The sequence below is a fragment of the Homo sapiens genome, chromosome 3 (genome assembly GCF_000001405.40).
Source record: "Homo sapiens chromosome 3, GRCh38.p14 Primary Assembly".
In the NCBI taxonomy this organism is placed as follows: domain Eukaryota; kingdom Metazoa; phylum Chordata; class Mammalia; order Primates; family Hominidae; genus Homo; species Homo sapiens.
The window spans coordinates 153,606,349-153,623,199 of NC_000003.12; the positions used below are offsets into that span (position 1 = coordinate 153,606,349).

The window sequence follows — 16,851 nt, forward strand, 5'->3', positions numbered from 1 at the left end:
AGGACCATAGAACCTTTGGATTCATACCACTTTCAACTGAAGATATTCTCTACTAAAATAATCCTTTACATATTATAGAGAACAATTTACAAGGAAGTTTACATTTTATTGAAGAAACATAGAAATACTTGTATACATTATTACTTATATAATAAAGAAACATTTTATAGTTTTGAGGGAAACACTGAACCATGTTTTTCCTTGAACTGCATGAATATGTTAAAATTTATTTACTTTTTAGAGGATATAGGTGGGCCACTTTGAGAAATAAGCTGAAAGACTTCCGTCAATATGACAGACTAGGATGGTGGGACAAACCCTTACTCCATGTCTAAAAGAAAAATTACGGAGAAAATCTCACTATATTCTTCTCCAGATAGCCAAGCTCAAAATAAAGGAAAACACTTGGGTACCAGAAATAAAGAAATTAAAGCTGAAATGTCAATTGGTAGCTGAGAACATGATGGCCACAGGGATTTTTGTTCACAATTCATGCTAAGGGGCCAGTGACTGGGTTCCCAGTGCCCACCCAGGAACATCAGGGTTTGTCTTAGACCATGGACAGTGGAGGAGCTGGAACAGGAAGCCCCTGGGTGGTAAGAAGGAGCTAAAAAACTTTTCCCATGGGCCTTTCTTTAGGGCCCTGGGAGAGGGTAAAGGCATGAGAAGTCAAAACATAAGCCTGAAACGTGAACTTGGAAAATTAAGTGAAAACCAGGACCACTGAATATAACTTATTAGGGAAAAAAGGATCATGACAAGGATGGTTCTTTTCAAAATTCCTGTATGAACTTAAAAATTCATAAATTTGAAAGATAAAAATAGTTTGTCAAAACATTTGCAAAATAATTTGTTAAATAGAACAAATCTTTGAAAAATATAACTTTCCCAAATAAACTGATAAATGCAAGAAAACAAATTGTTCTATCACTATCAGTATTTTTTTAAAGTGAAAGAAAACTACTAACCAGAAAAATACAGATGATTTTATAGGTGAGCACCAACAAATATATAAGAAATAGTATTTAGGCTGGTCCAAGTGCAATGGTGTTTGCAACTAAGTGATTACAAACAGTTGTGGATCTCTTTGTTTCTTCTCCACTCCCACTGCTTTATTTGACTAAGTTTAAAAAATAAATAAAAAATAAATAGATATTTAAAACTTTTATGCAAACTATTCCAGAGAATAGAAAAAAAATGAGACTACTGCTCAAGAGTAATAACCCTGGTACCAACACCAATCAACGTGACAATATGAAAAAGAAAGATCTGAGCCATTCTTACTTATAAACCTAGATGGAAAATTCCAACCAAATTGCAAGCAAACTAATGTAATATTTAAAAACAAGAAGATAAAGTTTTTATTACTTAAGAATTAGAAGTATGCTTTCATATTAGAAAATCTACTAATTTAATCCACCTCATTAAAAACTCAAAGGAGACTAGGATACATGATTATTTTAATGAATGTTGAATTTTAATGAATGCTTCTGCCTCTTTTTTTAATACAAGAAAACTTTAACAAACCTTACAAGAGAAAAGAATTTTCTTAACTCAATTAAAGATGCCTGCCAAAATGCTATAGCAAACAGTATTATTAATGTTGAAATAAAATTGTCTCTTCCAAAGTCAGGAAGTTGTCAAGAATTCCTGTTAGCTTCTATTAAAATTTATCAGGGAACTCATAGAGATAGACAGAGACCAGAATGATGATTACCAGAGGATGGGGAGAGTATTGTGGGGGCATGGCAGGGAAGTAGGGATGGTTAACGGATACAAAAAATAGTTAGAAGGAATAATATCTAGTATTTGATAGCACAGCAGGGTGACTATGGTCAACAATAATTTAATTGTACATTTTGAAATAACTAAAAAAGTATAACTGGATTGTTTGTAACACAAAGGATAAACATTGGAGGTGATGGATATCCCATTTACCTTGATGTGATTATTAAATATTGTATGCCTGTATCAAAATATCCCATATACTCCATAAATATGTACCTAATATGTACCCACAAAAATTAGAAGTTCAGATGATAAGTTTGTTCACAGAGAATACTCAATAAAATCTATAGATACATTATTAGAACATTTAATGTTGATTATAAGATAAATATAGAAAAATCAATCACATTTCTATGTACTTACAGTCTACAAATGGCAGCTTAAAATGTCCTTTCATAGAGAATGTGTAAGCACACACATTTATACATACAAGTACCATATCTGTACACAGTCCCTAATAAATAGTCTAATGTCATCATCTACAAAAAAAATTGAGGTGTAAAGACTTGCCCTACCAGATACGTAATTGATTCAGTGTGATATTTGTAGAATGGAGCGATATACAGACAAATGGCACAGAACAGAGAACCCAGAAACAAACCCACTCAGAATGAAAGCCTGAGAGGTGACAGAGTGATCTTGCAGGTCAGTTGAGATATTGGCTATTCAGTAAATAGTGCTGTCCTAAGGGCTGTCCAAATGCAGAAAAGCTGGATGCCTATCTCATACCCTCACAGTCAACTCTAAGTGTATTACAAACGTAAATGTGAAAACAAAACTTAATGCTCAGAAAGCAATTGAGATAATCTTTATGACCTTGAGAAAGGAAAATGTTAAGTGAGACCCAAAAAATACAAAGGTAATAAAATTAGACTATATCTTAATGAAGAGTTTGCACATAGAATGCATGAAGTCTACAAGATAGTAACAAAAAGAAAAACAAACCAGTAGATAAATAGAAAACAAATACAAATAGGCAATTCAGAAAGAAGGAATCCCAAATGGCCTACAAACACATGTAAAAACATTTAACTTCACTGTAAAAAGTAAATAAGATATTATTTCACACTTATCAGCGAGGCAAAAATATTTAAAGTCTGACAATATCAAGTGTTGACAAAGATATGGGATAACTGGAATTTATAATCTACTGGAGGGAATGTAAATTGGTACAATTATATGACCCAGCAATTCCCTTCCTAGATATATATATCCTTGAGAAATGGTCTCACATGTATACAAGGAAACAGAGATAAAAGATGTTGGTAACAGCACTGTTTAGAATTTTTAAAAAATGTAAACAAAGTGCACATCAGAAAATAAATTATAAATTCATACTATAAAAGACCATCCAGATTAGAATGAATTGAACTCACCATACACACCCAACATTATAAATATTAAAAGAAAAACAAACATAGTTTAGAATGCAAAATTATAGAAGTAAATAGTTTTCAAAAGGCAAAACAGTACTATATAAAACGTATCTAGAGAAATAGATTTTCATATGTCTATATAAATATAACTATGTAATGTAAGTGCAAGGAAAATTTGAATACCAAATTGAGGATAAATTAACACAAAGATGAGAGGAGAGCTGCAGTCAGTGAAAGAGACACAGGGGCACTTAAACGCTCAGCAATTTTTTATTTTATACTTTCAGTATAGATATAATTGTATTCATTTGAATATTTATTGAAAAATTTGTAAAATATCGAGCCATACCAAAATAAAGTTTAACACATGGCAAAAAGTATACTATACAAATTCTAACTGAAAGAAGGCTTAGGTCTCATTATTAATACCGTAAAAATATGTTTTGGCAAACCCATTAATAGTTTAAAGTGGGTCTGTTTTGTATAAAATAAAAATCACTGTGATTATTTAAAAATCCTGAATACATGTCTAGTACTGAATAGTATATCTTCACAAGGCATAAAGCGAAACTGAGAGACTTTCTTAAAGAAGCTGGTATTTTGTGATTATAGAGAAATAATTTTACATACTTCTCTCAAATGAATAAATCAAAAACACAAAAGAAATAAAAGATTTACTTAAAAAGACACAGAAAGCATAAAATATAAAGGGAATGATTAATACATGAATGAATAGTAAAATATTTCTTAAATCTAATAAAAAATATACAAAGTTAAAAGACAAGCCACCAATTAGGAAAAGATAGCTGCAATATATATAACAAAGTATTGATATCAAGAACATAAGTAGAGTTACTACAGAACAAATAAAAGAGAATAACTCCAATTATAAAAAAATTAACAGATCATTCATTGACAAGAAAACCCAAATGACTAACATTTGAAAGATTTGTCATGTTGGGGGGAATTCTAAGAATGTTATTAGAGAACCATTTCACAACTTATAAAATTGGTAATAAATGAAGAGCCTGACAATACTAAGTATGAATAAATGTATAAAATGAGAACTTTCAAATTTTACTGGAAGAAATGTAAATTCTTACTACCACTCTAAAAGGAAATTTGTTATTATTAATAAATTAGAAGAGATCTATTAAATAGATTTCAGCTTATAGTTATTTGCCCCCCAGAGAAAGTTTTATACAGGTCTACAGGTAGTCATGCACAAGGATATTGATCACTGTTTTTTTTTTTCTTTTAATTACAGGGAAAATACTAGAAACAATCTAATTACCCAGCCGGGCGTAGTGGCTCACGTCTGTAATCCCAGCACTTTGGGAGGCCGAGGCAGGCGGATCATGAGGTTAGGAGATGGAGAGCATCCTGGCTAACATGGTGAAACCCCGTCATTACTAAAAATACAAAAAAATTAGCCAGGCATGGTGGCACGCACCAGTAGTCCCAGCTGCTTGGGAGGCTAAGGCAGGAGAGTCTCTTGAACCCAGGAGACGGAGATTGCAGTGAGCCAAGATTGCGCCACTGCACTCCAGTCTGGGCAACAGAGTGAGACTCTGTCTCAATTAAAAAAAAAAAAAAGACAAAAAAAGAGAAACAATCTAAATATCCACTAATATAAGAATGGATTTATGGTATAATCACGCAGTTGAATACAGAAGAGCAAGTAAAGGAAATAATATAAATCTATACATCAATTTGGCAGAACTCTAAGGAATAAGGTTGAGTGAGAAAAATTATAGTAAATAGCATTTATGTAAAATTTAAATATACATATAAATACTATATATTACTTATGAACATATATTATGGAGTAAAGTGTAAGGATTAACAAAGGTATATGCAAAATTACAACGTGATTTTCTCTAGGCTTGCAGGTGTAGGCAATGGAATAAGGGAGATGTTCAAGGGATGGTTTGAACCAATCTGTAATTTTTCATAAATGTTAAAAATCTAACCAATAGAGTCGATGTTAGCATTTATTGAATCTGTTGTGTATTCTCTGAAATATTATATTACATCCAACAATCTGACCACTTTGCACCACTTCAATTGCTACAATGTTATCATCATCATATCTCCTTTGAGCTGTCACTGTTCAAAGTGTCAAATAATGTCACTGTTCTGTTGAAAACACTTAGGTAGGTTCCTTCTCTTTGTCAGAAGAAGCCCAATGGCATTCAGTGACCTTCAAATTCATACATGACGTGTGCTCCCTACCTTGCTGTTCCTTGAGTGTTGCCTGCCTCAAGGCCTTCCTACGTGCTGCTTCCTTTGCCTGGACGCTCTTCCTTCCTGGCTCCAGCCCTCACCCATGGGAAACTCGAGAGGTCATCCCTGATCATCCATAAAATAGCAAGTACTTCCTAGCCATCTTCCCTGCCTTTTCTGCACTGAACTTATCCTCTGCCAAGGTATGTGTTACTTATTCATCATTTGTCTCTCCTACCAAATCTCTAGCCCTAGAAGACCGCCTGTAAGTAGTAGGCACTTAATAAATATTTGCTGAATGAATGAATGAGTGAAATGCTACAAATACTTAATGATATCCATACAATCAGTTTTGCTTTTAATCAGATTTTTTTTGTCTTTTAACTTCTCGTGTAGTGATCTACAGTGATATTTGTTATACTTTTTGACTCCTGCATAGATATGGGAGATATATAGGGCAACATACTCTATTCAAGGATTATTATTATTATTATTTGAGATGGAGTCTGGCTCTGTCACCCAGGCTGGAGTGCAATGGTGCAATCTCGGCTCACTGCAACCTCTGCCTCCCGAATTCAAGCGATTCTCCTGCCTCAGCCTCCCAAGTAGCTGAGACTACAGGCGCCCGCCCCCACGCCCAACTGATTTTTGTATTTTTAGCAGAGACAGGGTTTCACCATTTTGGCCAGGATGGTTTCAATCTCTTGACCTCGTGATCTGCCCGCCTTGGCCTCCCAAAGTGCTAGGATTACAGGCGTGAGCCACCATGCCCGTCTTATTCAAGGATTATTTTCTAAAAATAAAGAAGTGCTCCAAAAAGACAAGATAAAATACGTAAGAGTGTTTTAACATGGTGTAAAAATTTGTAGTGAATGCATATTTATGTATATGTTATATACTTAGATATAAATGTCTATGGCTATATATCTATATAGATAAGGGTTAGATATTTTTTCCCTGATTGCCCCAAATATTTATTAAAAGCTACCATTAAAGAAAAGCCCCGGACTGCCAATGTGTTAGTAAGAATATCTACAAAGGAACGAACACTAAGCTATATTTTGTAAGTGGTGTTCCATATATGGTCTGCCTATTTTTATATGAAATCCTCAAAGCCATAATTTGATGGGGTCAGAGTCTGAATATACATCTATAATAATTAAAGAATTGTTTTGTCACAGGCCCTTTATGAAGATGACATTGGCATAAGTCAATAACTTATTCAAACTGGGAAATAAACAATATTCAGTTCATGAAAACTTTAATCATAAATAATATAAACAAAATTCCACCAAGCACTTCAATATGAGATTACTGGTACTTCCCAACCCACTTCATTATGGTATTTGTAACTTCATTAGCCAAATAGAGAACAACAAAAAAAACCCTCAATGGCTTCAAGAGGCTACTTGATTTCTTCCTCAAGTTTGTCAGAAATTCATTATCAGCTCAGGCTGAACTAATCACCCCCTTGCTAACAGCTGATATACAATGAAAAAAAGAGTGAGACTTTGTGTCTTGTATGTTGTAATTTAAACTCTAAATTACAGATATTTCTTCACTTATTACTTAGTTCTAGATATTTCTGTTCCTGTTTACCACAGCACCAATCTATTCAAATACTGAACTGCAATTATCATCTAATTTCATAAAGCATGAGCTTCAGCTGACTACTATTTGAGGATAATTCTTTGATCTTTGTGCTTCAGTAATGATGTGAATTTTATAAACACCTCTCCTTATTCTTAGGAAGAGACCAACTTCCAGAATAAGTGTTAACTGAATGGCTGCCCTACGCTTTGCTCTGAACACTTCCTGTGTCTTTCTAGTAAGGATCCACCCTGGGTACAGCAGCTATCACTAAAATGCTATTTCTTAAAGCTTTTGATTTTTTTCTTTTGTCGTTTTGTTATTTATCTGTTTACTCTTCACAATATCTGAGTTAAAGTAATAGGTAGCACCACATTAAGTATATAATAAATCCCTAACTGAATTTTAGTAGGATACATATAATATGTATAAAATTATCAATGAATAGTGTACACATAGTAATGAGCTCACCTTTCTTTAACGTGAATACACCTTAGGCCTCTGGGGTATGTGATAGCATTGTTAATAGCAATATTACTATTCCCATAACATGGAGGTTGAGAAGCTTATTTGCCAATGAGCAGCAGGATGTGATAGACATGCTGAAGTTGGGGGAGAGGGGCTCTAGGAGGGAGGAGAGAGAGTTTGGCTACAGGATGATGATATGAAGCAGCTCATATAACAGACACAGAAAACTTGGTGTTATTTTTTCAATCCTCCCTCTGTTCCAGAATGTGTTTCATTAATCTCCCAGCACACCGTCTGAGATCTGCAATTTTTTTTGCCTTCATTTTAACAAGAATCTGAGGTTGGGCATAAGGCAATGAAAGAAATGACATGACAGAAGTAAGGTTAACAAAGAGTCTCTGATGCTATTTTGGTAACCCCAGATTGTTTTAATTGCAATAAGAATTTTCTTTTTCTGCAACTACAAATAGGCTTTATTAAGTACAGCAACGAAGACAATGAATTACTTTTTCTCATTCTCATGAAAATGTGCTTCTAATTTTACTCAGTGTTCCTTATACATTCTTTTCTTAGTGGTCATTTACAGGGCTTTAATCATGAGTTTAGGATTTTGATTTTCTTTCTAAAATATTTAACAGACAGTCAAATGCCATCTCTCTCTCATGTCTAATAGAGGTCTCATCAAATAGCTAAAGGATTCAGTCTCTCTACTCATTTGGTCTCTCTCAACCAATGGAGTTATGGTGTGGTAACCGAGACAAATTTCTGGATTTTGTCTCCTGATCCCCTTCTAGTAACATCTGTAACTTTTCTTCTTGGTTTGCTTTATCTTCAAACTATTTCATCTAGCCCTACCCATTTTTGACACTTCTTTTGTTTCTCCTTTCTATACCTTGCTCCATAGTCAGCCTCTAGATTGGTCTGAGTAAGAGTTATGCAAGACCAGTCTGGATGGCATAGCAGCTTCTTATTAGGACACAATGGAGAAATAGATCTGGGAAGGCATGTCAGGGCATGTCAGACCTAAATATAAGGATGGTGAATCACAGTTTTTCTCTGATTCTCTGGACTTTATGGCATGGACAATGAAAAGAAAAATCAGGGAAGGGTTTTAAGACCCAAGAATTGCTTAAATGATTGATTTGAACATATTATAGACAAAAGCTTAATGCGAGGCCAAACAGGCTATACACTGCATAATTTCATAAGCTGTCACAGTAATATTGCTGTCTGTACCACGTGCTTGAGGTATACTGTGGTTTCCCTAGTCAGTTATTTGAGAAAAATGTGAACTTAGTTATAAGATATTCAACTTTTCAGTAATCTAGACAAAATATTACTTGAAGCAATGCTTTTTTCTTAATTTGAGTAAAAATGTATAATAGAAAGTTGAATTACATGACTACTGCAGTTGTCTGTAAACGAGATGAAAAGGGTTAGCTTTGAATATAGCAGTGGGAATATAAAACCATTATGAATAAAAAACAACACAATTAACATATTTTGTTTGATATATTGTGTTTGAGGCAGAGGTAGAAAAAGAGAATAGGTCTTCTGACTCCCAGCAAAATACTTTCCCCCATTATTTTATCATGACTTTCCATAAACAAACTTCTCATTTTATTTTAGATTTCTCGAAGACAGATTACTTATGCATAGCATTTGGACAAATTTATCAAAAATAAAAGAAATCATTAAGTGAGGTTCTTTACATTTTCTTCACCTACATTAATTTTTAACTGTAAAGTTTCAGATCAATACCAGATGTACTGAAGGAGAGGGAATCTAACAAATATTTAAAATGAGCCTACCTTGACAGGCATTGTGCTAAAAACTTCACCTTTTATTCATCCATAAATAAATAGAATATATAATTATGTTTTTTCTCCAATTTACAGATGAGAAAACTGGCTGAGAGAAATAAATCAAATTCCCAAGTTTCCATTAGTTGAAAGTTACAAGATTGAAATTCAAGTCCAGTTCTAACTATAAAGGCCTTTCTTGTCTACTCTCGGCAGATTGTGTCTCAAATACAAATATTTTGTCTAAATGTGTTGAGACTGCTGGAAGGAATAACAAGTAAAGGCAATATTCATTTTTCTTCCTGACTATACTATACTATCTTTACTGCCAACATTGTCTGATAAGTTCTATTTAAACTGAGCACTACTAACTGAAGCACTTAAGGTGACAACATTCTATCTCATTAGGTTTTACATAAAGGGAAAGCTTATCTGTAATCTCCAAGTAGCACCACCAAAGGGTTCACTAACGTAATTATCACCAGTTGGGTGCCATCTGTTCCAATGCATCACAGTCAAATTACCTCAAGGCTAACACAAATTGTATTTCCTTTAAAGAAAAACCAACACAGAATACTTGCCTCACTTAAGCTAAGAGTGAGGCCTCCTAAGAAGCAAGTCATCCAGGCTCTAGGTGTATGCTTCCTTCATGTTGGAGGACTGAAAGAACTACTTTGTAGTGGAGGCATAGGGTATTTGAATAGTGACAGTAATTCCATTCTGATACTAGCAAATTCATTCATGTTATGATGAGATTGCAGTCACAGGTAGAGAGACCAGTCCTCCCCTAAGACACTGTGAGGAAAATAGTCCGAAACTGCTTTAATAGGTAGAAAAAGAGAATAATTTACGTCTTTTTGTATAAAGTTTGTTTAAAGGCATTCACAATTCAATTTTAAAAGCATCTGTGGAGCAGCTATTGGGTGCTAGGTTCTATGCTAGGGCCTAAGGATACAAAGAGGAACAGGAAGCCCTCCTCATAAGAATCTCCAGTCAAATCGGGGAAACAAAAAGAAAATAGTCTGGACCTTTTTGAAATGATATGTGGGTCTATAAACTTGGCTGATCAGAGTGACACGATGAAAAAAATAAGAGGTTTTATATCAATAAGTTTTATATGAATAAGTTTTCCAGGAAAGCAGAAATCTACAAAGTTGTATATATTTTGTAGATTTGCAATAGCGCCATATTTTTCCCCTTCAAGATTTTCTGTTATGATTGTAAAAGAGAAAAACAAAAGCTGAAACTAATATTTCTGGAGAGAAAATGATATGAAGACTTCAGTTTCTTTGTGAACAGACAAGGAGGAGAAGCCAGACAAAAGTTGTTACAGCCTGAAATGACAATCAGAAGACGCTTCAGATCGTGCTGTGTTCCAAAGCCCACTGAAGTCCCCAGAAACCGAAATCACTGAAGTTGCAAGTAGAGTCTAGAGTACTAATGACCCTGGAAGCAAATATCCAAAATCACGACTGATTCAGATGAAGAAAATATACTGCATGCCACTAGCAGGAGGGTCTCCAAAATATAATACTTTGTTGGACAAAGAAGAATACAAGGCAGCACTCCTGTTCTAAGGAGGGGCTCTGGAATTAGGCAAGGAGTGAATGGAAAGGCCCTGTGGCATTTCCCATAATAAAGGGAAGCCAGCATTTTATTAAAATTTTAAACATTTCCTATCAAATTTGTTCAATCCCTGCTTTTATACTTCCTGCCTCCTTCCTCTTCTCCTTCCCTTCTTTCCCAGTATAAATGGCTCTAGAAATGAGTGCATTCCACTAAACAAACATCACAAGAGCCCATAGATCACAAAAGCAAATAGCAATAGCTGACTTTTGATGAGGAATACAAACAGATATTCCTATTTCCTGAAAAATGTTTCTATCATAGCTTGATAAGAACGTAGTAAGCAATAATACTAAAACCTGAATAGTGAATTATTCAGTTATATGTATTTTTAATGAAGTTTCTACCTATAGTAAAAGCATCATTGACTGGATAGTGGACAAGCACTCCAAGAGTCTGCTGGAGACATCTGGCAAAATATGAGGCAGCACCCTTCCCCTGAAGCTCAGCTCAAATTCCAATCATCTGGTCATGAAGGGGTGACTGACCCTGGGTTCTGGCACCCTGTCCAGGCTGGTTACATCTTGGCCCCTTCATACAACTTAGCTTCTCTAGCACCATTACTTATAGCAGAGGTTGTCTCCTGCCAGTGTCAGAAACTCACACTCTGCATGCTTTACTATATGCATGATCACTTTTACCTTTTACCTTATGCCCCAACATCAAAGCTAACAATTTTCTGATTGAATATAGCTTTTCAAATGATCATGTATTCCTGAAGAAATACATATGTAATTCAATGACTCTGGTGCTGATTTTATAGTAGATGCTAAAGAAGAGTTAAAGCAAAATTTATCCTGCCTTTATAAAACATTCAGATTCCAGTTTTCACATCTGCATGGAAAAGGTCAAGAAGAAAGAGACACTCCTAAACAAGGAAAATGGACTATCTTTAAAAATTGCAAATTAAACCTTCATGGGACAGAAATTTTCCTTTACTGCCGTTTATGCTAAGAACATTTGAGAAACATAGGCAATGATGATATGACATAAAAGAAAAAAATCAGACACTCCAAAGTGGTTTTACAACTACATGAAATGCCATTTAACCCACTGCATAAGCTGATGTTCCTGCAGGCAAATTTTGCATAGGAAATTTCAACAAGTGAAAGAGCAATCACAGAGATAACACCACAATAAGATTTTCGCAGTTGGTGTGGATGTGACTCGAATGCACTATTGAATACATTGCACCCAAAGGGAAAAGAGCAGGAATTCAACAGATGTGAGTATCCATAGGGTTCTCCATCCATCAATTTCCCTTCCAAGGCTATGATTCTGCCCCTTCTTTGCTCTCCCAAGACAGAATTATATCTCAAGTTTTCATAAACTGAACCCGTCCCTCTGTTCACTGCTTCCAGGCATTTAAAAATATAAAGCCAATTTTTTAGACTATTTCTATCTAAAAACATGACGTTGTGCTCTTCCAACATAACCCAGTTATTATACCACACAATTTTGGAGGGAAGAATTCTTTATTATGTTTGTTATTTATAATATCTTTCAACATAAAATACCTATTTACCATATTCTCTGAGTGCTGATAGAAATGTCTGCTGTTATTAGTTATGATGCTGCTAATATTTTAATTGAATATGCTGCATAAATACTTCTGTTCTGATTAGCCTAATCTACTATTGCTAAAACTCATTTTAAGCTTTTGCAGTAAAAACATTTTGTATATTTAAATTGTTTCATTAAAAAAAAAGTTGTCAGAGATTTCTTCTCTCCCCCACTTTTCTTGCCACTATTGGAAGAGTTCCCACCATAATAGAAAAAATAACAAAGAAGCATTAGTGAAATAATGAGTCACACCTGAACTGCCCCTGCATAATTGCAATATGTAATTACAGGTTGCTATATAATTAGAACCATTTTATTTTAATAATTCCTCCATGTGTCTAAGTACCTAATGTCTTTCAGGGGGGTAGATAAAAAGTGCAGTATTTCTTTATTCCTTTCATAAACTACCATTATTAAGAAATGGGAAGGCACACCTTTACAATAATAGCAGTGACAGCTATATAACAATCTTTAGTGCATCATCTGACATTCTGATGAATCTCACTCATTTTCCTTGCAAATACATCAGAAACACTAGCATCTGCTTCTGAACTGATGTCGCACAGAGGCAGGTCCTCCTGTTTAAGTCCAAGAGAATAGATGAGCTAATGTTACAAGGCAGAGTGCCTATGTAGAAAAACTACTAATTGTCAGCAGGAGAAGCTGCTCTCCTGGGGACTGATAGCATGGCAGTTGGCTGGTAGGCATGCCTATCACCTGGGTCTTCTGGGACTTTGCTTCATCAGAAATCAAGTCTAAAGGGGCATGAATTGTTATAATTGCATTCACAGCTATTTAAGGCTTGAGTTGATGTTAATTTCATTTCATTTCCCCTCCAAATACCGCTATTACTACTACATGACTGTTATGGATCTTTCTGAATATTTCCCCAATGTTTATTTTACCCATACATAACAGCCTAGTTATAATTTTTAAAATCTAAATTCTTGAGTAAAGGCAAAGACACATAATTTCTATTTAAAAACAAAACTACCTTGGTTTTTCCCCCCAGTTAGGGGTAGATAATTTAAAAAGGAGAAATGTTAAGTGTTTCAGTACATAATTTAACTGGATATCTGTCATTGCCACTTGAAAGTGAAAATCAAAACACGTAACCATTTGTGATATTCAGTTATCATATGTTGTGCCTTCCTGTAAATAAACAACTAGTTTAACCTAAGAGGGTAGAAGAATGGATGTAATATATATGATCATGATTTTAAGAACAATCTAAAGGACTCATAAATATCAACATTGAAACAGATAAGGGTTGGGATAAGTCAAAATTAAACCATGGTAAGAAAACTAGTTGTTTGCAAGTAAACGAACTCAGGAATATTTTTGCCTCCAAAGTTGCAAACATAATAGTAATTCCTAGAGATGTTAAGTCACAGCTTTCAGATTTCATAGAATTTTACTTTAGATATTGAATGCAATGAAATTTGATATCACATTCAGAGCTTTACTATTTTTGTTCTAGTTTGGCCTTTCTTGCATTTGTGAGGAAGTCTCAGTTCTCTAGAATATTCTGGCATCTTTCAGCAAATTGCTTTAAGTCCTCTTCCCTGTAAAAAATAAGGTACATATAGAAATTCTATGTTTGCTTTATAGAGACACCTAAGTAGATGCAAATCAGCAGGCACATAGTAGAAGAATCTAAAAAATCTAAGGCAATGATATGGTATTGAAAGTTATCAGCAGCCTGAACAACAGAGCAAGACCCTGTCTCAAAAAAAGTTAGTTGCTAGTATTCTGATTAACCATATCAATTTTCAGTAATAAACTTAAACAAATTTACAAGAAAAAAAAAACAACCCCACTAAAATGTGGGCAAATAACATGAACAGACACTTTTCTAAAGAAAACATAAATGCAGCCAACAAGCATTGAGAAATGCTCAATATCACCAATCATTTGAGAAATGCAATTCAAAACCACAGTGAGATACTGTCTCATACAAATCAGAATGGCTATTGCTAAGAAATCAAAAAATAACAACAGGTGCTGACAAGGTTGCAGAGAAAATGGAACATTTATATACTGTTGGCAGGAGTGTAAATTAGTTCAACCATTGTGGAAAGCAGTATGGCAATTCCTCAAAGAGCCAAAAATGGAACTACCATTCGACTCAGTAATCCCATTATAGGGTATATAGCTAGATAAATATAAATCATTCTACCATAAAGATACATTCACACAAATATGCATTGCAGCACTATTCACAGTAGCAAAGACATGGAATCAACCTAAATGCCCATCAATGACAGATTGCATAAAGAGAATGTGGTACATATACTCCATGGAATACTACGCAGTCATAAAAAAGAATAAGATCAGGTCTTTTTCAGGAACATGGATGGAGTTGGATGTCATTATCTTTAGCAAACTAACGTAGGAACAGAAAATCTAATACTGCATGTTCTCACTTACAGGTGGGAGCTAAATGATGAGAACTCATGAACACAAAGAAGGGAACAACAGGCACTGCAGCCTACTTGAGGGTAGAGGGTGGGAGGAGGGAGAGGAGCAGAGAAAATAACTATTGGGTACTAGGCTTAGTACCTGGGTGACAAAATAATCTGTACAACAAACTCCTGTGATGCGAGTTTACCAGGATAACAAACCTACACATGTACCCCTGAACCTAAAGTTTTTTTAAAAAGATTAAAGCCACATGATGCTGTTCAGAATTCAGAAGTTATAGATGCCTTTGACTATACATAGATAACTACTGTGTGTGTGGAAGAGAAAGGGAGGTAAAGAAGAGAGAGAGAGAGGTGGGGGGAGAGACAGAAAGAGAGAAAAGACAGAGAGATATGGGAGGGAGCATTTGTTTCAAATATCTTTATAAACTTCTAAAGAAGCTTTGGTCACAAGTCAAGAACAAAAGATACTATATACTAATTGGGTGGGGTTTTCACAAAGGGTGACCCAATTTGTATGAGGGAGCAGAGCTGAGCATGTGCTAAATGGAAAACTTCGAAATCTTACTAAATAGCTGTGTTCATCCTAGACTCTCGAAATGGATAGATTTGCACAAAGCTTGGTGATACAAATAATTCGATGAATGAAAGTACTGGGGTCTGGAAGATCTTGACGAGCTCAACGGATGGCTAGGACCACCAAGAGTACATTTAATAGAACTAAATATAAATTCTGAACCTACAGTTAAACATGGAAGTTTGAACACCTGCATTTATTTCTGCTCTCTCCCAAACTCCACTATAATGACAGTTGAGGAATTTTAAAAAGACATAAATCTACAAGGTCAAACAGAATGGAAGACAAGATCACAGCAGGTGAGAAATAGGAACAAAGTTTTGGAAGAGGAAATGCAGATGCAAGAGTAGTAGCTTTGTGTTGCTGAGATGAACAGGAAATGAAACCTAAAAGAAACAAGCTGATTCATATCAGAGAACTCACCAGAGGCTCAGAGACTGCAGTCACCAGCACTTCTGAATGTAATGGTACGAGCTGGGGCTGAAAAATCAAAGGATTAATAGGTACCCCTCTCCTATTATTCTCCTTTCAAACAAGAGTGTATATTTATTCTCTGCGGGTATGGATGAGGATGAAGTTGAAACACTGCACAGAAAATAGCCTATCAAAGAAAAGCTTACACTGTGAATATGTTTCCTTCCCTTTCTCCACTCCCAGAAGTCTATCACCCAGGTTTGCATCCAGAAGAAAGGATACCAAAAGGGTCTGGTATTTGAGATTTTCCAAGTATGAAATGGCCAGGTTTCACTTGATCACCCATCTGGAAAACCCACCATCAACTTCCCTGCCTATGTACACAGAGCATCCAATCAGGATTTCAGTGCCTCTTTTTAAAATAGAGGCCTATAGAGAAAAATCACAAAGCATCTGAAGAAACCTTTAAAATAAACAGAAAGGAAAAAGAAAAAAGAGGAAGAAGACAAGGAAGAAAACAAGAGAAATCTTCAAACTATAACTAATGTGCTCATGAAGAGAGAAGAAAATGCTTTTAGTCAAGAAACAGGAAAAATATAAAATAAGCTATAAAAAACAAGCAAGTAATGATTTTAAAAGGCTCTAGAAATTTAAAATGATAGCACAAGTGAAAAAAAAATCAAGAGAAAAAGAGAGTAAAAAGAAAATCTCCCAGAAAGTAGCCAAAAGGGCAAAAATAATCAGTCCAAGAGACTTGACATACAAATAATTGTTCAGAGAAAGAAAAGAGAGAATGTGGAAAAAAGGGAAGATTTATCCAATAAAAACTATGAGAAAACATATTCCAGATTTTATACAAAATAATATAATAAAAATATTGCAAAAAATGTAGTGTATATGAATTTCTACTTTCAAGAGAGAGAAACAATTTTAAGAGTCACTTTACTATAAAATTTTTGATTATCAGAAATAATATAAAGAGCTTAGGAGCTTCCATC

At 34.7% G+C, this 16,851-nt stretch overlaps 1 long non-coding RNA gene across 1 annotated transcript in view, besides 1 other annotated feature; it reads right to left on the minus strand.

The window, feature by feature from the left end:
• LINC02006 (long intergenic non-protein coding RNA 2006) overlaps positions 1-16,851 on the minus strand; it is a 378,977-nt gene that overhangs the window by 222,799 nt on the left and 139,327 nt on the right. The window lies entirely within an intron of this gene.
• Positions 15,950-16,009: an enhancer, noted in NCBI's record as "active region_20718". NCBI's record gives its function as "activates an Ori minimal core promoter by ATAC-STARR-seq in GM12878 lymphoblastoid cells {active_cell/tissue: GM12878}" and the evidence as "EXISTENCE:reporter gene assay evidence [ECO:0000049][PMID:35858748]".